This window comes from Homo sapiens, chromosome 17 (genome assembly GCF_000001405.40).
Source record: "Homo sapiens chromosome 17, GRCh38.p14 Primary Assembly".
Taxonomy (NCBI): Eukaryota; Metazoa; Chordata; class Mammalia; order Primates; family Hominidae; genus Homo; species Homo sapiens.
In genome coordinates this window covers 61843453-61865344 of record NC_000017.11, presented here as the reverse complement: position 1 = coordinate 61865344, position 21892 = coordinate 61843453, and the positions used below count along the sequence as shown (strand labels likewise).

General features: G+C 38.4%; 1 protein-coding gene across 22 annotated transcripts in view; it reads left to right on the top strand.

The window, feature by feature from the left end:
- Positions 1817 to 21892, top strand: part of BRIP1 (BRCA1 interacting DNA helicase 1) — a 184390-nt gene continuing 164314 nt past the window's right edge. For 10 of the 22 annotated variants that reach the window (XM_011525336.3, NM_032043.3, XM_011525335.4 and 7 more), the window contains exons 1-6: positions 1817 to 2061; positions 3776 to 3898; positions 5438 to 5549; positions 8114 to 8287; positions 16089 to 16216; positions 18125 to 18244. In XM_011525336.3, coding sequence (XP_011523638.1) covers positions 3806 to 3898; positions 5438 to 5549; positions 8114 to 8287; positions 16089 to 16216; positions 18125 to 18244 — 627 coding nt within the window. In that variant the 5' untranslated portion in view covers positions 1817 to 2061; positions 3776 to 3805. Of the gene's footprint in view, positions 3436 to 3775; positions 3899 to 5437; positions 5550 to 8113; positions 8288 to 16088; positions 16217 to 18124; positions 18245 to 21892 lie in introns of all 22 variants that reach the window. The other 12 variants (XM_047436893.1, XM_047436891.1, XM_011525333.4 and 9 more) reach the window with 2 other exon arrangements.

Below are 21892 nucleotides of genomic sequence, written 5' to 3'. Positions count from 1 at the left end.
CCACTAGAGTTAACCTGAAGGGAACGGTTCAAGGGACTGTATTCGAGGTCTGTATGGCTCCAGGGCCTACGTGTATCCCTTTCTGTTATGCCACATACATTAAATGGCAATGCAAGGTGAGAGCCAGTTGAAACTCTTAGTAATTTAGGAGAGGAAAATGAGAGTAGTTATACTAGAGCAGTTACTCAAAAGAGTTGATTTTTTTTTTTTTTGAGACGGAGTCTCGCTCTGTCTCCCAGGCTGGAGTGCAGTGGCGCCATCTCGGCTCACTGCAAGCTCCGCCTCCTGGGTTCACGCCATTCTCCTGCCTCAGTCTCCCGAGTAGCTGGGACTACAGGCGCCCGCCACCACGCCCGGCTAATTTTTTGTATTTTTAGTAGAGACGGGGTTTCACCGTGTTAGCCAGGATGGTCTTGGTCTCCTGACCTGGTGATCCGCCTGCCTCGGCCTCCCAAAGTGCTGGGATTACAGGCGTGAGCCACTGCGCCCGGCCAAGAGTTGATGTTTTAAAAATTATAAAAGAGAAATGACAATTTGAAGGTATTTTTAAGGATTTATTTTTAAACATTATCCTTCCTTTCATTGTCTTAACAGTAAATTACTTCATCTTTGCTCATTCATATGTATTTTCACATTACTGAATCCCTAACACCCAGTTTGGGGTTTGCTTTGCCTTTTTTCACTTAACCTTATATGGGATTTTTTCTTGCAAGTTTAATTTTTATAAGTTTATTGGCTTCATAATGTATTGAATTCATCTGTCATAACCACCTCCATATTACTAGACTGGGAAGTTCATAATTTTTTTCAGTATTACCAATAGATATTATTGTCAATTGCGGTATCACATTTTCTTTCGTTTAGATTACGTCTTTAGGATAAATATCTGGAGCTCAGATTACTAGGTCAAAGGGTAGAGTTTATTTTTATGACTACAAGTTTTGTCATTTTTGGTAAGATATATCACAATTGACAATGAGGCAAACAAATCAACTAGCCCCCTCCTGCTCTTTCTTCCCAGCAAACTCCTTCCCCAAACTAGTTACTTGAATTTGAGAAACAGTATGAGGTTTTGCCTTTTGGAGACATTATTATTTGAGCCAAGTTTAGGTTATACAGATTTTTTAAAAAAATAACATGATTTGGCAAGATCATGATGAACCTCCTTTTCTTTGAGTAAATTAAAGTACTACTGGCAAATAATAAACTGGTCTTAGGAGGGATGGAAGGCGGATAAGCCTTAATGGAAGTAGAAGTGATCTGATACTGGAGACCCTGAGAGCTTGTCTCTGGCTTATTTTAGCATCCGGGAAAGCCTTGAATATTATGAAAGATAGATTGTAGCCCGATGTCACAGAGCCTTCTTACTTAAGTTTGGCTCAGCAGTCTGGCAATTCCCGCCTGAGTCTTCGCTATCCTGGCTACTGCAAAGCTGGGTAATTTAAATTGAGTGGCACTGATAAATGCTCAAAGAACTTGGCAAAGCTTAAAGATACTTCCTTTCCGCTGGTCTACGGACGTGAAGAATGAGACTTCCAGTTTCCAAGGAATTTGCTGCATAGACTCTATCGCCGGTTTCAAAAGTCAAACTGAGACGACTTTCTACTTTAAACAAACACTAGGGATTTGCTGGAGTGGCGACAACCTTCCGCCGCGTACCTTGAGCCCTTGTTTTTTTTTTTTTTTTTCGGAGACTTCCATTGGATGCCGAAGTTCTCGCCCCCTCACCTCGCACCGGGACTGGTTGATTCCTGGCCTTGGCGGGTGATTGGTCGAGCTCGCTGGGCTATTGGGCGCTGGGAGTCGAGGGGGCGGGAGGCGGGAATTCGTCTCGGGTTGTGTGGTTGAGGGGTCTGGTGGGTCGAGGAAAGGTAACGGCGGCCCCAGTCCTGCACACAAGGCCGGGGAAGTAGCAGCACCCCCAGGAAGAGGGAGGAGGAAGGGCTCGTGCCCTTTCTTCTCTTCCAGGGCTCCGCTTTATTTGCTCTCAGAAGTCGGTTTCCTTTCCTTTTCTTCAGTGAATCGGAGCTCAGAGCGTTGCTTCGGTTTCCCTCCAGACAGGCAAGTCGGAGGGAAGTCCACGGAAAGGGCTTGAGTTCTTCTGCACAGCCTGCGGGCCCATGGGTGGTGACTGGATCACCAGGGTCTCGGGGATCTCAACTGGCTGGGGGAGGAGGGAGATACGGGGCAGAAAACCTGAGGAGGGAGCCTATCCTTACCTCCTTTGAGCGCAGGCCTGTTCTTAGCCCGGGCGCTGCGTTAATTCTTGGCGGGAGGCAGAGGGGTGTGTTTATCCTTTATGCAATGTTTGGGGGAAGCTACCCCATTTTGACACTATTGTTGCCACAGCCGGGGTACAGGACGGGCTGATTTCTAGATTATATCTGAGTAACTAGGCCAGCGTTGAGTTGTTGATTCATATTAAGAGGTTAGATTCCACCATACCTCATTCTCAGAGCTTTACAGATAGAATCGCAAAATGTTAGAGCTGGAAAATACCCTAGAATAATGGTTCTTCTTTTGGAGCACACAAGCAGTGGTGAATGTTATTATTGGCTTCATAATCTATTGAATTGCTATTTTAACCATCTCTTCGTCCCCAGGTTGAATTTACAATTTTTTCCCACGACTGCAAATAATTCCTTATTTAATAACAGTGCATGTAATTTCCCCCGCTATTTTGATTTCCTTGAGATATATTTACGGGAAGAGAAATCTATGGACTTTTTCTTCAGAAAAATGCAATCATGTACAGAAACTTATGCTTGCAATTTCAAGAGGTCATTGTCTCTGAATTACATCCGTGGATCCTAGGTTAAGAAAAGTGGTTTAGAAGAGGTGAGGATTAAAGTGATCCTCATCTGTATCAGATCCTGGGTTAGGTACATTCTGCCCTGGCTAATTTTCATAAAAACCCTGTCAGGTAAGTAGTAGTATTTCAATTCCATATATGGAGAAACAAGCTCTGAGAAGTTAAGTGATTCACACAGTGGAATTCAAACTTAGGATTGCCTTACTCCAAAGCCCATCCTGTTTCTATAATACTCTACTGATCTTCAAATAACATTTTTGAGTGCCTACTATGTGCCAAGGCATTCTCTTTCTTATAACAGCCTTTAAATTAAATTAGGGGTTATCACAGGTAAGGATCTTAGACTAGAGAAGTAAAAAGATATGTCAAAGATAACATACCTGAGTCAAAGATAACATACCAGGCAGTATACCAAAACCTGGTATAGAACCTATGCTTCCTGACTTCTGGTCAACAGCTTTTTTCTTCTAACTGGAGGACTGCAGAAAGGGGTAACACAAAGGGGAAGAACTGGAGAAAGAGTGATGCTACGGAGTTGTAGAGAGAGAGGCCTCAGGAACTTATTTGTTTCTGTAGGTTGATTACATCTGATCTAACTGTTACAAGAGCTCATGTTTAATCTGGTATGTACTTTATCATATTTGCACATTATTTCACTTAATCATTACCACAATCCTATGGGGTACATGCAGTCACTGTGGCTTAGAGAAGGTAACTAACTTTCCCGAAGTCACACAACTAATACCTGGCAGAGTGAAGGATACAAATCTAGATTTGTTAGACTCTAAGACATGCTCTTGACCGCTGTGATTTATAAGACTAGGAAATTATTTTGTTTCCATTTGTTTTGTTTATACTTTTATTAATTCCAGTTTCTGTTTCCAGATTTCTCCCTTAGTTTTGGTTCTCTGGTTTTCTTTGTAAGGCGTGTCTCAATATTTGACATTTTCATTTCTGTTGTAGTTAGGAATCTGAAATAAACAGGAAAGCACTATGTCTTCAATGTGGTCTGAATATACAATTGGTGGGGTGAAGATTTACTTTCCTTATAAAGCTTACCCGTCACAGCTTGCTATGATGAATTCTGTAAGTATTTTTCAGCAGTTAAGTTTTTATTAAGATATAGATACTTATGACCCATAAAGTACATTGAGTATTTGACTGCATTCATATTCTCAGTAAATGGAGAATATTTTCTGGGTTCACTTGGAAGAATATCTAACCTCTGGGAAACTACTGATTGCAGCTAAACTGTATATATCTGTGGTTAAGGCAAAGAAGAACATTCTGAAAAATGTTCTCAGCTCATTTGGAATTTCTATACTTTTAATGAAAAACTGCTATACTTTTAAGTAAAAACAGAGTATTTACTATCTTTTACACAGAATACTATTTTTCTCACCATTGTTTTGTTTGGATCATGTAGAAAATTAATATACAAATTTGAGTAAACCAGCTTTCCAGTTTTGTTACAGCTATTTTGCCATATGTACTTCATATCTTATTTACTGGTAACAAGATTATTAGTATCCTGAATTTGTTCTTTTCCTTTCCTAGCCATGTTTTTATACTTTTATTACATATATATGTATCCATAAACAATATAGAATATTATTTTACATATTTGAAACTGTGCATTGATGTGATACGGTACCTTACTTTTTATGCAGAACTTGAGTTTTTTAACTTAGCATTATTTTTAATGTATAGCCCTGTTGATTCTTAATCCATTTTAATTGTTGTATAAATTCCATTGGATGAATATACCAGAATTTATCTGTCCATTTTCTTATTGGTAGACATTTAGGTTGTTTACATTCTTTTGCAGTTACAAACAATGCTGCTGTGAACTTCCTTTTTTCTTTTTGTTTTTGAGACAGCGTCTCACTCTGTCGCCCAGATTGGAGTGCAGTGGCGCGATCTTGGCTCACTGCAACCCCTGCCTCCCAGGCTGAAGCTATTCTCCTGCCTCAGCCTCCCCAGTAGCTGGGATTACAGGGATGCGCCACCACGCCCAGCTAATTTTTGGATTTTTAGTAGAGACGGGTTTTCACCGTGTTGGCCAGGCTGGTCTCGAACTCCTGACCTCAAATGATCCACCTGCCTTGGCCTCCCAAAGTGATGGGATTACAAGCGTGGCTGCTGCTGTGAACTTTCTTATGCATGTTTCCTTGTGTTCATGTGGGAAAGGTTTTGGGTGTACACATAGAACTGGACTTGCTGGAGCTGGGCATCTTCACTTTATAAGAAATTGTTTATTTCTCTACCAAGTAGTTGTAACAATTTGTACTCTCACTAGCAGTATCCTTCATTAAGTTTTCATCAAATATATTGATAGGTAGTAATGTATTCTGGTTTTACAGAAATCATTGATGCTTGCATAATTCTGGCACAGATTCCTCTTTTCATTTCTTCTCTTGTGCTTGATATTTTAGTAAGATAATCTTAGGGAGAGGTGTAAAGGAATACAGTTTGGATTTAACTAAATATGAGTTCCTTCTGCTATTGTTGTGTTCCCTGGAGTGCAATCTCACTTTTCCTTGCTGTTCTATTTAAACTTCAGATGGAGAGAGACCTTTATAAAGTTAATATGTTTATTATTTTCATTGGTTTCTGTGTTCATAGATTCTCAGAGGATTAAACAGCAAGCAACATTGTTTGTTGGAGAGTCCCACAGGAAGTGGAAAAAGCTTAGCCTTACTTTGTTCTGCTTTAGCATGGCAACAATCTCTTAGTGGTAAGTAGTTGCTTGATATCTTCAGGTTACTTACTGGGATCTGAGAAAATATAATACAGTATTCTTTATCCAGACTGGTTCAGCCATGCTGTCGCTAACTTAAATATTTGTTTAAAGATGTTTCTTTGAAATAAGTTATAAATCTTCCAAAAGAGTTTCAATATAGCAAAATATGTTTAATTAATGCTAAAATAGTATTGAACATAATTTAGTCTTTTGATGAGTCGGAAAGTACATAAAGACTTGGCAGCCTGGGCAGCATGGTGATACCCCATCTCTACAAAAATTGACAATCAATTAGCCAGGCATGGTGATGTACACTTGTAGTCCCAGCTACTTGGGAGACTGAGGTGGTAGGATCGCTTGAGCCCAGGAGGTCGAGGTTGCAGAGAGCTGTGATTGTGCACTCCAGCCTGGGTGAAAGAAAACAAACAAACAAAGTTTTGGATGCTTAGAGTTATTATAAAAATAATTAGATGATAATTTGTATGTAAAAGATGCAAGAGATGGGCTGTCATGATGCTGTAACACATACTAATTGCTTTTTTTGGGGGGGGAAATCCTTTAATATATTTGCTTACCTGTTCCTTTCTCATAACATCAGCACATGGAATATATAAAAAAGAATACATTCTAGTTGATCTTTCTACTTGTTTAAATGCCAGATAAACAGAAATTTAGTATAATATTGTTTGTATGAATTTATATTACTTCCCACTACTTTTCCTTTTTTTTTTTTTTTTTTTGAGTGGCGTCACCTGGGATGGAGCATAGTGATGTGATCATAGCTCACTGTAACCTCAAACTCCCAGGCTCAAGTGATTCTCCTGCTTCAGCCTCTTAAATAGTTGGGATTATAGGCATGAGCCACCAGGCCAAACTATTTTTACTTTGTTTGCTAACAAATGCCTATTAATATTTACTTCTATGAAAGACTATATAAACTACATAATGAATCAGAAATATAATATTGGATACATTTTAGTTACATTAGATGGCTTTAACCTAAAGTATTAGGAGAATTGAGGTTAAACATGGTATGTGTATGTATGTATGTATGTGTATATAGGTATATAGATACATTTTTAAAATGAAATGTTTGTTACTAATAAGAGTATATTAAGGCTGGGCACAGTGGCGCACGCCTGTAATCCCAGCACTTTGGGAGGCCAAGGCAGGTGGATCACCTGAGGTTGGAAGTTTGAGACCAGCCAGACCAACGTGGAGAAACCCCGTCTCTACTAAAAATACAAAATTAGCCTGGTGAGGTGGCGTGTGCCTGTAATCCCAGCTACTCGAGAGGCTGAGACAGGAGAATCACTTGAACCTGGGAGGTGGAGGTTGCAGTGAGCCGAGATCGCGCCATTGCACTTCAGCCTGGGCAACAGGAGCGAAACTCTGTCTCAAAAAAAAAAAAAAACAGTAAATACTTCATAAGCTTTTGGTTGTTCATTTTGATTCTCACTGACGTTAATTTTGGGAAAAATGAGTTTATCGGTACTAACTTCAGGTCTTAATGGCAGATGTCTGGAAAATAGAATTAGGAATATTTATATGGTACAAATGGGAAAACAATGTCAATACTGATTATTTTTAAAAATAAATTATTTAGCTTTTTTGGGGGTATATGAATTGTACATTTGTATACAATGTAGGCACACAATGTAAACTTATTACAATTTGGTATTATATTTAGCACTAAAATTACCTATTTTATTGATTTGAATATTGACCTTAAAATGTATTTTGATGCAAGTATCAGAATTAATACATCAAAAAACATGTTTCTATTTGAAATAGAAGTATAATTGGGGGAATGATTTAACCCTTATGTGTTAGATTATTATCTAATATATTGAACTTTCAAATTCTTCATTTAGGGAAAGAGTAGTAATTAAGGATATACTTTATGTCCTTGTTTCAATCCATTCTTGAATTTTAGATAAATCTTAATATAAATGAATACTTGAGTAGTTGTACTTTTATTACATTATTAATCTTAGATTATTAGATTTTTACAGATTACATAAATGGGTGATAATTTCCCTATAAATGTTTTTGTTTTGGTTTTTGAAACAGAGTCTTGCTCTGTCGCCTAGGCTGGAGTGCAGTGGCATGACCTCTGCTCATTGCTACCTCTGCCTCCCAGGTTCAAGCGATTCTCCTGCCTCAGCCTCCTGAGTAGGTGGTATTACAGGCGTGCACTACCACGCCTGGCTAATTTTTGTATTTTTAGTAGAGACAGGGTTTTACCATATTGGCCAGGCTGGTCTCAAACTCCTGACTTCAATTGATGTGCCTGCCTCGGCCTCCCAAAGTGCTAGGATAACAGGCGTGAGCCACTGTGTCCAACCAAATGTTTTTGGCTTATTTCTCTCCTGTCCTAATTTGATGCTGCAGATAAAGTGACCAGCTTGTCCAGGTTTGCCAGGTACCTTCCTGGTGTTAGCCCTAAAAATCTTTTATCTTAGGAAACCTCCCAATCCTGGGTGAACTGGGCTGTAGAGAATGATTGATGTTTATTTAATTAGATATATTATAAATAGATGTTCTTTCATTTTTAGGGAAACCAGCAGATGAGGGCGTAAGTGAAAAAGCTGAAGTACAATTGTCATGTTGTTGTGCATGCCATTCAAAGGATTTTACAAACAATGACATGAACCAAGGAACTTCACGTCATTTCAACTATCCAAGCACACCACCTTCTGAAAGAAATGGCACTTCATCAACTTGTCAAGGTAATTTATATTTTGCCTGGGTCAGTTGATATCTGTAATAAGAGTCTTAATTATTACTGTTATAAGCCCTAATTTATATAAGTTTGGTTAGCATAACTGATTATATATCTCTATCTAGTTTCTCTGGAATGATTTTAAAATAGCACAGAGTGGTCAAAAATCCATAGACGTTTTTAAATTCTTGGTTTGACTTTTAATTTATTGAGACATTTTGTTGTCCTAAATAATTTTTTAAGGAAGGCAAGGCAAAATAAATGATTTTCCAAAATTGATGTTATTTGTAGCCATTATTGTTAATTATATGTTAGAATTCTATAAAACAATGTTTGTATCCTAAGACGAAATCTAATTAGCCTCATTGATTCATTCTTGATAAGTTTGCCTGGCCTTCTGAGGCCAGTATCCTACATAAGTATCAGGTATGTTTATGTGTGATCTTTAAATAATTTTTACTAATTTTAGAGAAATACATTAAGAGTAACATAAGATTATTAATAATATATTTAAAAAATATTTCACCTGCTTTTGGCTGTATAGAAAGGATAGACTATTATTTACCTAAGAAACCTAGGGAACATCCTGGACACTTTGCTCTTTCTTATTTCTTCATGTACATCTCCATATCCATTGGTACCTCCATAGTCCAAACTACCATTTCTTGTTTAGAGCATCCAATAACGCTTTTTTCTGCTTTTACTCATGCTATTCCTTTACCAGTCACTGGCAGGGAGACAGAGGTTGCCATGATTGACTTAAGTCAAAACAAAGAGTATCCATTTCCTAAAATCAAGGATGGAGTCAGCTTCCTCTAAAGCATGTGACTATATAGAGGAGGGTAGATGATTGAACTTCTGGTAGGAATGAGGAAAGAGAAGTGGAACAGTTATTAAATAGGTGACCAATAGTGTTGTCTACATTGTTTTGATTTTGGCCTTTTGGATTTCTTCCCTTTCCTTCAAAGATTTATGCTTTCTCCTTCCTCAGAGCCTTTGCTTCTATTAGTGTCTCTTCTGAGCAAAGTTCCATCTTCAATTTATTATCCTTTTCTTCCTCAGTTTACATGTGACTTCCTTGGGGTATCCATCACTGATTTTTCTGTCAGAGTAGATTTGATTTTCCTATTATAGTCTGTCTTCTCCTTGTGTACCTTTCCTTTATAGCACTTGTTACAGTTTGTATTATATGTGTCTGTCTAAATCTTTTATTAATCTCTGCTTCCTTGGCAGACTACTTCATGAGGTTAGGAATATTGTCAATTTGCTTACCATTGTATCCCTAGAACTCTAGCAGGGTGCCTGGCATATGGTAGGTGCTAGATAAATATTTGTTGTTAGGAATGAATGGGATTAATTTTCAGCTAATTATAGGAATTCTGGTGTATAATATTTATATACAACCTTTTAAAAACAGCTTTATTGACGTTTACTTGACATAACAAATTGCATATATTTAAATGGTACTTTTTTTTTTTTTTTTTTTGAGACAGAATCTCACTCTGTTGCCCAGGCTGGAGTGCAGTGGTGTGACCTTGGCCCACTGCAACCTTCACCTCCTGGGTTCGAGCAATTATCCTGCCTCAGCCTCCCAAGTAATTGGGATGACAGGCGCCTGCCACCACACCCAGCTAATTTTTTGTATTTTTAGTAGGGACAGGATTTTACCATGTTGGCCAGGCTGGTCTCGAACTCCTGACCTCAAGTTACTCACCTGCCTCGGCCTCCCAGAGTCCTGGGATTATAGGCGTGAGCGACCACGCCCAGCCTAAATGGTACACTTTGATACATTTTGACATATGTACCTCCATGAAACTTTCACCAGAATCAAGACAGTGAACATACACACCAACCCCATATTCACTTTATCCAAAACTTTTTAAACATGCTCACTTTCCCAAAAAGTTTTCTCATGGACTTTTGTTATCCCTCTTTCCCACCCCTACATGACTCACCTCCCCAACCAACCACCTGTCTGATTTTTGTTACTATAGATTAGTTTGCATTTTCTATAGTTTATATAAATGGATTCATACAGGATGTATACTTATTTTGTCTGGCTTCTTTCACTTATGACAATTATTTTGAGATTCCTCTATGTTGTTGCATGTATTAATAGTTTGTTTCTTTTTATTTCTGAGTAATTGTGCATGGATATACCACAAATTGGTTATTGGCTGTTTATGTATATTTGGGTTATTGCTAGTTCTGGGCTATTACAAAGACAGATACTGTGAACATTTGTGTCTACATCTTTGTATGGATGTATGTTTTCATTTCTCTTGGGTGAATACTAGGAGCAGAATGACCAGATTGCTTTGTAGGTGTGTATGTTTTAACTTTTTTTTTTTTTTTTTTTTTTGAGACGGAGTCACTCTTGCCCAGGCTGGAGTGCAGTGGCGCAATCTCAGCTCACTGCAACCTCTGCCTCTCGGGTTCAAGTGATTCTCCTGCCTCAGCCTCCCAAGTAGCTAGGATTACAGGAATGTGCCACCACACCTGGCTAATTTTTGTATTTTTAGTAGAGATGGGGTTTCACCACGTTGGTCAGGCTGCTCTGTAGCTCCTGACGTCAAGTGATCCACCCATCTGTGCCTCACAAAGTGTTAGGATTACAGGCGTGAGCCACCGTGCCTGGCCAACTTTTTAAGAAATTTCTAAACTGTTTCATGAAGTGGTCATACCATTTTATATTCCCATCAGCAGTTATGAGAGTTCCAGTTTCTTCACATCCTTGTGAACCCTTGGTATGGTCAGTCCTTTTAATTTTAGCCATTCTTTTTTCCTGGAGATAGGGTTTCATTCTGTTGCCCAGGCTGGGTACAGTACTGTGATCTTGGCTCACTTGGCTCATTGCAACCCCTGCCTCCTGGAACCAAGTGATCCTCACACTTCACACTCCCTAGTAGTTGAGACTACTGGCATGCACCACCACACCTAGCTAATTTTTATAGTTTTTGTTGGTTTTACTGTGTTCCCCAGGCTTGTCTTGAACCCCTGGGCTCAAGTGATCTGCCTTCTTCGGCCTCCCAAAGCACTGGGATTATAGGCATGAGCCACCATACCTGGCCTTAATTTTAGCTACTCTAATAGGCATGTGGCAGTATCTCATTGTGGTTTTAATTTTTATTTCCCATATTTTCATGTTCTTATTAGCTATCCATGTATCTTGTTTGATGATATGTCTGTTCGAATAATTGCCTATTTTTTATTAGTTTGTGTTCTTACTGTTAAATTTTGAGACTTCTTTAAACATTTTGAATACAAGTCTTTGATCAGATAGAATTTTAGGTTTACATTTAGGTCTAAGATCCATTTTGAGTTAATATGTGTATATGGTGTAAGGTATGGATTCAAGTTCATTTTTTTGCATGTGGATATCCAGTTGTTCAGCACCTGGATATATCGAAAAGGCTATCCTTTATCCACTACATTGCCTTTGTGTCTTTATCAACAATGAGTTATCCATATGTACACAACTTGATTTTGACATTACTGTGAGTCAGTGTTATTTAGAATAGTCTAAATGGGAAAAATCAAGGTTGTATTCTGATACGCTCTTTATATTTGTAAGTAAATCCTTTAATCTGTAACCTAAATATAGAAAAATGCAAATCCTAAGTATATAACTTGATGAATTTTCACTGTCATAACTACTACATAGATTAAAAAAAAAAGAGAGAGACATTACCAACACCCCAGAGGCCCTCCTCATCTTCTTTTTCAGTCACTGTCCCTTCTTTCCATAGGTAATTCTTGTCCTCCTGTGACCATTGATGAGTTTTGCCTTTTTACAGAAATAGAGTGAAACTCCATCTCAAAAAAAAAAAATGGAATTATATATGTAATCTTGTGTCTGTCTTCTGCTTAATATTGTATTTGTGAGATTCATTCATGCTGTTGCATATAGTAGTACTTCTTGTTTCTGTGTATTATTTCCTTGTATGAATATACCACAGTTTATTAATCTGTTCTACAGTTGTTAGGCATTGGGTTGTTTTCAGTATTGTTTAATAGTGCTGTTATGAACATTCTTGTTCAAAGGGTGCAAATAGGTAAGTATTGTCTGTAGACACATACCTGGTCATAGTATATACATATGTTCAGCTATAGTAGATACTGACAACATTTTCTAAAGTGGTTGAATCAATTTATGCGTCCCCGGTCAGATCCCTCCAACCCCTGCAGCAGTATATGAAAGTTGTTCACCATTTTTGTTAGTACTTGATATTTATAGTTTAAAAAAAAAGTTAGTCATTCTTGTGTATGTGTGGTATTCTCATTGGGTTTTAGTTAGTATTTCTCTGGTGACTTCATATGTTTATTGGTCATTTGGATACCCTCTTTAGTGAATTGCCTAATCAAGTTGTTTGCCATTTTTCTTTTGTTTTTTATTTGAGGTGGGGTCTCACTCTGTCGCTCAGGCTAGAGTGCAGTGGTGCGATCTCAACTCACTGCACTGGCCAGCTCCCAGGCTCAAGCAATTCTCCTGCTTCAACCTCCTGAGTAGCTGGGATTACAGGCACCTGCCACCACGCCCGGCTGATTTTTGTATTTTTAGTAGAAATGGGGTTTCACCATGTTGGCCAGGCTGATCTCTAACTCCTGACCTCAAATGATCACTCGCCTCAGCCTCCCAAAGTGCTTGAATTACAAGTGTGAGCCACCGTGCCCAGCCTCCATTTTTCTATTGGGTATTTCTTAGGTTTCTTGAAGATTTTAAAAAAACATAATCGGGAGATATCTTCTTTCTTTTTAACTTTGTATCTTAAAGATTTTACCCCTTTGATGAACTTCCTTCAAACTCCCTTGCTATCAAGACCAGGAAGATAAGCCTTTTTGTATGTGATGATAATATGATTTTTATTTTTATGAATTGGGGTTACCCTTATTTGGCACATGGCAGTTCAGTTTTCTAAAACTAAATGATCATTTTGGGTGGACATTCCCTACCCTCTTAATAGGCCCATGTCAGTTTGCCCCGTATTTATTTGGGACAGAGTTTCTCCACAGTGGCACTATTAACATTTTGAGTGGGATAACTCTTTGTTGTAGGAGCTCTCCCTTGTGAGATGTTTAGCAATACTTCTGGCCTTTATGCACTGGATGCTAGTAGTATTTCCACCTCTGCTCTTTTTGTGACAACGAAAAATGTCTCCAGACATTGCCCAGTATGCCTGGGATGAGAAGTGGTGGTGTTAAAATTGGCCTGGTTGAGAATCACTGATCTAGGTTTATTTTGTGGTTATTTTACTGGTTGCCTGGACATGCAGAGCTCAAAATTACCTATCTTATCTAAAATATATATGGAAATGCAAAGGACTAAGGATAGCCAGGATGCTTTTGAAGAAGCAGGTCAAGGTGAGAGATTTGATCCACCAAATATACGGATTTATTGTGTGTAAATATAGAGTAATTAAGACAGACTGAGGTTAGCACAGTGATAGACTCATATAAAAGTATAGAGAACCCTAATTTGGTCCCACATGTATCCAGAAACTTGATATTTTTATAGAAGTGCCCCTACAGCTTGTAGGGGAAAGGAAGAACTTGGGTGGTGCTAGGCCTGTTAGATGTCCATATGGAAAAAATTGAAATTGGAGCCCTACTTTATACCATATACAAAAGCCCATTCAAGGTAGATTAAAGACCTACTTCTGATAGGCAAAACTATTAGGATTTTTAGAGTATAGTGGTTTTCAAACTGTGTTTCTAAGAACCTTATAAAGAAAGAAACATGACTCATAAGGGAAGGGGGAAAGTGGATCAGGGAAGTTCTGGGTCTTTCATCCCTATTTTGGAAATTTTAAGCAACATTTCTTTTTTTTTCTTTTTTTGAGATGGAGTCTCGTTCTGTCACCTAGGCTGGAGTGCAGTGGTGCGATCTTGGCTCACTGCAACCTCTGCCTCCCGGGTTCAAGTGATTCTCCTGCCTCAGCCTCCCAAGTAGCTGGGATTACAGGCATGCACCACCATGCCCAGCTAATTTTTGTATTTTTAGTAGAGATGGGCTTTCGTCACGTTGGCCAGGCTGGTCTCAAACTCCTGGCCTCAGGTGATCCACCTGCCTCGGCCTCCCAAAGTGCTGGGATTACAGGTGTGAGCCACCGTGCCCAGCTGCAACATTTCTTTAAGAAGAAAATATTCCTACACTTTAGAAAAAACTTGAAAATCAGTGCTATGTGGCATAGGTTCATTTCTGAGTTTATGTAATCTCAAGCTTTCTTTTTTTTTTGGAGACATAGAGTCTTGTTCTGTTGCCCAGGCTGGAGTGCATGGCGCGATCTCAGCTCACTGCAACCTCTGCCTCCCAGGTTCAAGAGATTCTCATGCCTCAACCTCCCGAGTAGCTGGGATTATAGGCCTGCACCAACATGCACAGCTAATTTTCGTATTTTTAATAGAGATGGGATTTCGCCATGTTGCCCAGGCAGGTCTTGAACTCCTGGGCTCAAGTGATCCACTCGCCTCGGCCTTCCAAAGTGCTGGGATTAAAGGCGTGAGCCACTGGGGCCGGCCTCAAATTTGTGTTTTGAAAACAGTATTGGACCTGCTCATGTAGGTCTTTCTCTGCTGTAAATCCTTTAGGGCCAAGGATTCTCTTTTTCACTGTTTTTCCATGGTGTCTGGCCATGGGTTAGACTCAGTGTAATAAATGATTGTTGGCTGGGCACGGTGGCTCACGCCTGTAATCCCAGCACTTTGGGAGGCTAGGCGGGTGGATCACCTGAGGTCAGGAGTTCGAGACCAGCCTGACCAACATGGAGAAACCCCGTCTCTATTAAAAATACAAAATTAGCCAGGCGTGGTGGCACATGCCTGTAATCCCAGCTACTCAGGAGGCTGAGGCAGGAGAATCGCTTGAACCTGGGAGGTAGAGGTTGTGGTGAGCTGAGATCACACCATTGCACTTCAGCCTGGGCAACAAGAGGAAAACTCCATCTCAAAAAAAAAAAAAAAGATGGTTAAAAAAGATTGTTAAATTAATTCAAGCCATGGGAGTGGAGAGAATGCTTAGAGAGAAGCAAAGAGGAAGGAGGGTACCTTTAAGAATATTTATATTTAGGAAAAGGGAGAAACCAATGTATGAGAATAGTTAAGAGCAGTGTTACAGACATTAAGGAAGAAGAAAATGTGTTTGCTGTGTTCCAAGAAGACAGTGTTGGCTGTATGCCTAAGAGGTTACATGTATGGATGTTGGAGTCACACAGCAGGATTCAGTCATGTCTAGGCTCTACCATTTAATAACTGTATGATACTGGGCAAGCTACTAGACTTTTAAAAACCTAGTGTTCACATTTGTAAGATTGGGATAATTAATGTTATTTGGTGATTAAGAGGTCCTGGATGACCTTGAGAAGGAGCTTTCAGGATTATGGGATTAAAAGACAGATTATATGAGCTTGATTCTATAATCAATGGTTTTGCTCTAAAGAACGTGGAGAAACTTAGTAGGGAAGAAACGTTGATACTGTAAAGAAAGATTTTTACAGACATGAAATATATTTTCTTCAGAGATCCTTGCAGTTATACATTTTAAATCATGTTATTGGGAGTAGTCTACAAGTACATAAGGCGATTTAAAAAATCAAATTGGACTTTTCCTATTGAAAGCATGTTTCTCAGAATCTTTGGTAAAGTAAACTGAATGGTAGAGAAGTACTTTTTAAACATGTTTAAGTTTCATGTTTTAGATTATGGTATGAAATTTCTAGAAATAAGCCTTACATCCTGGTTCCAGTTTTCTTCTAGAAAAATTGCCTACCTGTAAGTTATTTATGCTGTTTTTTTTAAATTACTTATATAAGACTCCCCTGAAAAAACCACTCTGGCTGCAAAGTTATCTGCTAAGAAACAGGCATCCATATACAGAGATGAAAATGATGATTTTCAAGTAGAGAAGAAAAGAATTCGACCCTTAGAAACTACACAGCAGGTAAACAGAGTTTATTGGCAGTAAATAACCCAGTTAGTTACAGCTGAACATGGTAGTCAAGTATCATGTTTTTAATGCACTTGTGGAGATTAGTTGGGTCATGTGACAGCCATAAATTAATAATTTGTTGTAATTTCATTTTGTAGAGTTACTTGTTACAAAGGAGTTTATTATAGCAGATTATTCACAGTAACATGTCGTTCAAGTGAAACTGCATGGTGTTTCTTATATATGAGGAATTTGATAGTAAAATATTTACTTAAGGCATATCTTAGTGATATACTACTTTGTACTTTTTAACTCCTCCATTGTTTTTATCTTAAAATAGCATTTCCTTTTGGCTAAAATACCTTTGATATGATTATTCATGTTATGGATATTTTGGAATTGATAGTTTTAATGTAATGACAAGATGTATTCTTACTGAGTTTTTAAGATTGATACATGATAAAATATGTATATTTATTTCTAAAAATTACTAAAAGGCTTGAATTACCAGATATTTTAAATGAAATTTGGATGCAGATGAACACAATATTTTCTCAGAATTCATGGCAGTGAGATAGGAAGGCTGGGATTTTAATAGATTTAGTTACAAATAAAAAAGATAATTATTAGGCTGAATACAGTGGCTCACGACTGTAATCCCAGCACTCTGGGAGGCTGAGGTGGGAGGATCTCTTGAGTCCAGCAGTTTGAGACCAGCCTGGGTGACATAGCAAGGCTCCTGTCTCCACAAAAAAGTAAAAAAAAAGACCGGGTGTGGTGGCATGAGCCCTACAGGCTCATCAGACATGTAGCCCTACAGACTACTTTCCAGCTACTTGGGAGGCTGAGATAGGAGGATTGCTCAAGCCTAGGAGTTGAAGGCTGTGGTGAGCTAAGATCATGCAATTATGCTTCAACCTTGGTGACAGAGCAAGACCCTGTCTCTAAAAAATAAATAAATAAAAACATAAAATAAAAAAATTATTAATTAGGATGTTATTTGTAGGTAAGTAACTGGGTACTTTTAATTGAGTATACTCAAGGTTCTTGAAGTCTTATGTAGTTTAACTGTTCCACTTACAGTCTTTATAAATTTCTATAATTCAGCCTTGTTTTTAGAAATAGAATGAACTAGTTTATTTTATCAAAGTACCAATGACAAATGAGGTGTGAACCTATAGAGATTTCCCCCCGACAAAATGTATTCATAGATTTGCATGTCATCAGGTAGGGCTCAACATAAAACATTTATTCCCTCACTTCACTGGTTCTCATTTCATTTTTGGCGGGAATGAGATTATCAATAGAAATGCTTTTCTCCCCAATTATATAGTGAATAGATTTTTCACAAATAGGAAAAGCATGGATACAGTTTGGAAAGAAAACTTAGTGGTATTTATAAAAGAAATTTAATCAAAGGCAACTTGGTTTATCAAATATCTAGTAAGTAACAGTGATAATAGTAATCGAGTAATTTATTCCATCCTGTAGGAAATCATGACTGTTTACATTAAAAGTTTTATTCTGAGTTCTTTTCAATGTAGAATTATGCTTAAATTTTGATTTACTTTTATTTTCCAATTAGATATAAGATTGGACTTTCCAATATTGCTATATTTGATGTCCATATGATGGGACTATTTTATGAGAAGTTCATTTTACAATACTCTAATTTTGATACATCACTAATTAAAGATAGTTTGGCTAAGATTCATGAGTCACTACTATGTTCTATTTCCTTTAAGTGTTGTAATGAGGTGCTTATTTGCATTTTTAAAATTTCTTTTATTATTGCCTGTTAGAAATAGTCTTTTTTTGGATGCAGGAAAAAAATACATAGAGCTGTTTTGGCCTTTGAGAACAACTAGCCAGTTAAACTTCTAGTTCACCTTAAACTTCATTTTGGTTCTGTGTTTACAGATTAGAAAACGTCATTGCTTTGGAACAGAAGTACACAATTTGGATGCAAAAGTTGATTCAGGAAAGACTGTAAAACTCAACTCTCCACTGGAAAAGATAAACTCCTTTTCGCCACAGAAAGTATGTATTAATGCCATTGTTCAGTTTTAAAGAAGGAAGATATGGAATTTTCTAAACCAATTTTTGACAAAAGAGGAACAATAGTATAATACAAAGGACAGTAGCAACCCACTCAGAAGTCCTCAATGCTGTCACATCTCTGTTACTAATGTGTGAGATGGCAAAGCCTATTCTCTCTATGCCTCGTTTCCTTATTTATAAAATAAGAGAATTGGACTAGAGAGAGATCTGAAAGTCATTTTTTTCTGTTCTGTATTTTAATGTTTGTAAATTCTCCAACTCCTTACAGTTCTTTCAGGATTCTTAGGGCAACAGTTCTCAAGGAGTAGTCCAAGGAGTTCTAGATATTGAGATTTTTTTGGGGAGTGATCTGTGAGGTGAAAATTATTTTTGTAATAATATTAAGATGTTGTAGGCCAGGCGTGGTGGCTCACGCCTGTAATCCCAGCACTTTGGGAGGCCAAGGCGGGTGGATCACTTGAGTTCACGAGTTTGAAACCAGCCTGGGCAACATGGCGAAACCCTGATTCTACAAAAAATACAAAAATTAGCCGGGTGTTGTGGTGCACACTTGTAGTCCCAGCTACTTGGGAGGCTGAGGTGGGAGGATGGCTTGAGCCCAGGAGGCAAAGGTGCACTGAGCCAAGATTGCACCACACTGCACTCCAGCCTGGATGACAGAGTGAGACCCCGTCTCAAAAAAAAAAAGGAAAAAATACATTATTGCCTTTTGGATTGTCTTGACATTTGTACTGGTGGCGCAAAAGCAAGAATGGGTAAAACTGTTGGTGCCTTAGCAGAAATCAAGGTATTGGCTCCAACCTCTCTCTCTCTCTCTTTCTCTCTCTCTCTCTTTTTCTCTCTCTCTCTCTCTATATGTATATAATTTTTTAAATTTATTTATTTTAATTTTTTTTTGAGACGGAGTATCGCTCTGTCACCCAGGCTGGAAGTGCGGTGGCGTGATCTCCGCCCACTGCAAGCTCCGCCTCCTGGGTTCATGCCATTCTCCTGCCTCAACCTCCCGAGTAGTTGGGACTACAGGCGCCTGCCACCACGCCTGGCTAATTTTTTGTATTTTTAGTAGAGACGGGGTTTCACCACGTTAGCCAGGATGGTCTCGATCTTCTGACCTCGTGATCCGCCCACCTTGGCCTCAACCCAACCTATGTTAATAATAGTTTTCCAGCATCATTAGATCACAGTTTTGAAAAAAAACCAGTTTCATTTAAGAATGTCTTTGATGAAGCAGTAAAAATTACTAATTTTATTTAATCTCAGCCGTTTAGGTTTTTAACATTCTGTCTGAAGAAATGAATAGAACTCATAAAACACTTTTGCATACAGAAGCAGGATGGATGTCCTGGGGAGAAGCGCCTGTAGGATAGTTTGGATTGTGAGCTGACTAGCCACTTTTTGTCATGGAACATCATTTTTGCTTGAAAAAGAGTGAATGATATACTAACCATGGTAATTCTTTATGATAAAATGAGCCAGATAAAATTTGAGCTTTCAAGTGAAAATCAGAATTTTAAAAAATTTGTATATACTCTGAGCTTGGCAGCTTTGTGATAACTACAGACTTTTCTGATGAAATTGGTGATATTACAGAATATGACTTTTTATATTTATATAATGAAATGTGTCAACATTTGTAAGATCTGTAAAACTCAATGAACTTAAACTCAGCGAACTAAATATTATTTAAATGACCAGTGCATGATATTGCAAAATGATGCCTAGAAAAGGTCCATCCTAAGTGCAAGATAGACTGATGGACCTTTTTTCTGCCCTGTCCCCCCATTCCCAGGCAACCACAGATTTGTTTTCAGTTACTGTACATTTAATTTGTGTTTTGTTGGTGATCTTCACTGAAGCTTTATATTAATAGTTGGAGAAATTATGTAGAAGCTTCTTCTGTTAAATTGCAATAATCATCAACATCATTATAATGTAAGCTATATGTTGAGCTCTGCCACAGTGTTTTCTCATTCATTTTCTTTCCTTTCCTTCATGGGCTTACTATTATCTGAAATTACTTGATTACTTGTTTATTATTTGTCTGTCCTATTACGATGTAATGTCAGTCTTTTTCATGTGTGTCCCTCATGCCTAGAATAGCATATGGTGCATATTAGTTGTCTAATAAATATTTATTTGTTGAATGTTACTGAGTTCTTACAATGATTATGAAGCAGGTATATTGGTATTCCCATCGTACAGATGAGGAAACTCTGAGAAGGAAGAAACTGGCCTAAGATCACAAAGCTAGTAAATAGTAGAGCTAAATCCTGCCTAGGCATTCTCATGTTCTGGCAAATGCCCTAATCACTTTATTTTATATTCTCTCTAAAATGCCTCTTTGCAGTCCTGGAGCCACCTAAATAGGGTTCTAACACCAAGATAAGGAAAGAAATATGTAGAAGCTCACAGATAAACAAATCAAGTATAGAGTCACCTGTGATTAAGATTTTTTTTTCTTGGGAATTGTTTTTGTTTGCTTTATTTGTAGACACAGGGTCTCAATGTGTTGCCCATGTTGTAACGCAGTGGTGTGATCATAGCCCACTGTAACCTCAAAATCCCAGGCTCAAGTGATCCTCCAACCCCAGCCTCCTGAATAGCAAGGACTACAGCTGTGCAACACCATGCCCAGCTAATTTTTTATTTTTATTTTTTGTAGAGATGAGGTCTCACTGTGTTGCCCAGGTTGGTCTCAAACTCATGGCCTCCAGTGATCCTCTTGCCTGGGCCTCCCAGAGTTTTGGGATTATAGGCATGAATCACTGCACCTGGCTTGTTTTGTTTTTATTGGTTAAGAGAATGGACTTTGGACACATACTGCCTGATCTTAATTTTTAAATAAAGATTGGGCCAGGCATCATGGCTCATGCCTATAATCTCAGCACTTTGGGAGGCCAAGGTGAGAGGATTGCTTGAGGTCAGGAGTTCAAGACCAACCTGGGCAACATAACGAGACCCTGTCTTTATAAAGAATAGAAGAAAAAAAATAGCTGTGTGTGGTGGTGTGTACTTGTAGTCCTAGCTACTCAGGAGGCTGAGGGAGGGGGATCCCTTGAGCCAGAAGATTGAGGCTGTATTGAACTATGATTGAACCACTGTACTCCAGTCTGGGTGACAGAGCGAGACCCTGTCTCTAAAAAAAAATAAAAAATAAATACATAAAATAAAAATTATATATATTTTAGGTGTAAAACATGATGTTTTAATATATATATACATAGTGAAATTATTACTACAGCCAAGCTGTGATAGTCTGTTTGAATTGTTATAAAGCAATACCAGAGGCTGGGCAATTTATAAAGAAAAGAGGTTTATTTTCACTCACAGTTCTGTAGGCTGTGCAGGAAGCATGGTGTCAGCATCTGCTTCTGGTGAGGGCCTCAAGAAGCTTACAAGCATGCCAGAAGACAAAGAGAGAGCAAACTTGTCACATGGAAAGAGAGGACAGAGGAGAGAGCAGAGGAGGTTCCACACTGTTTTAAATAACCAGATCTCGTGTGACCTCAGAGCAAGAACTCAACTCATTACTGTGAGGAGGGCACCAGCCATTGATGACCCAAGCACTTTACACTAGGCCCCACCTCCAACTTGGGGGATCACATTTCAGCATGAGAGTTGGAGGGG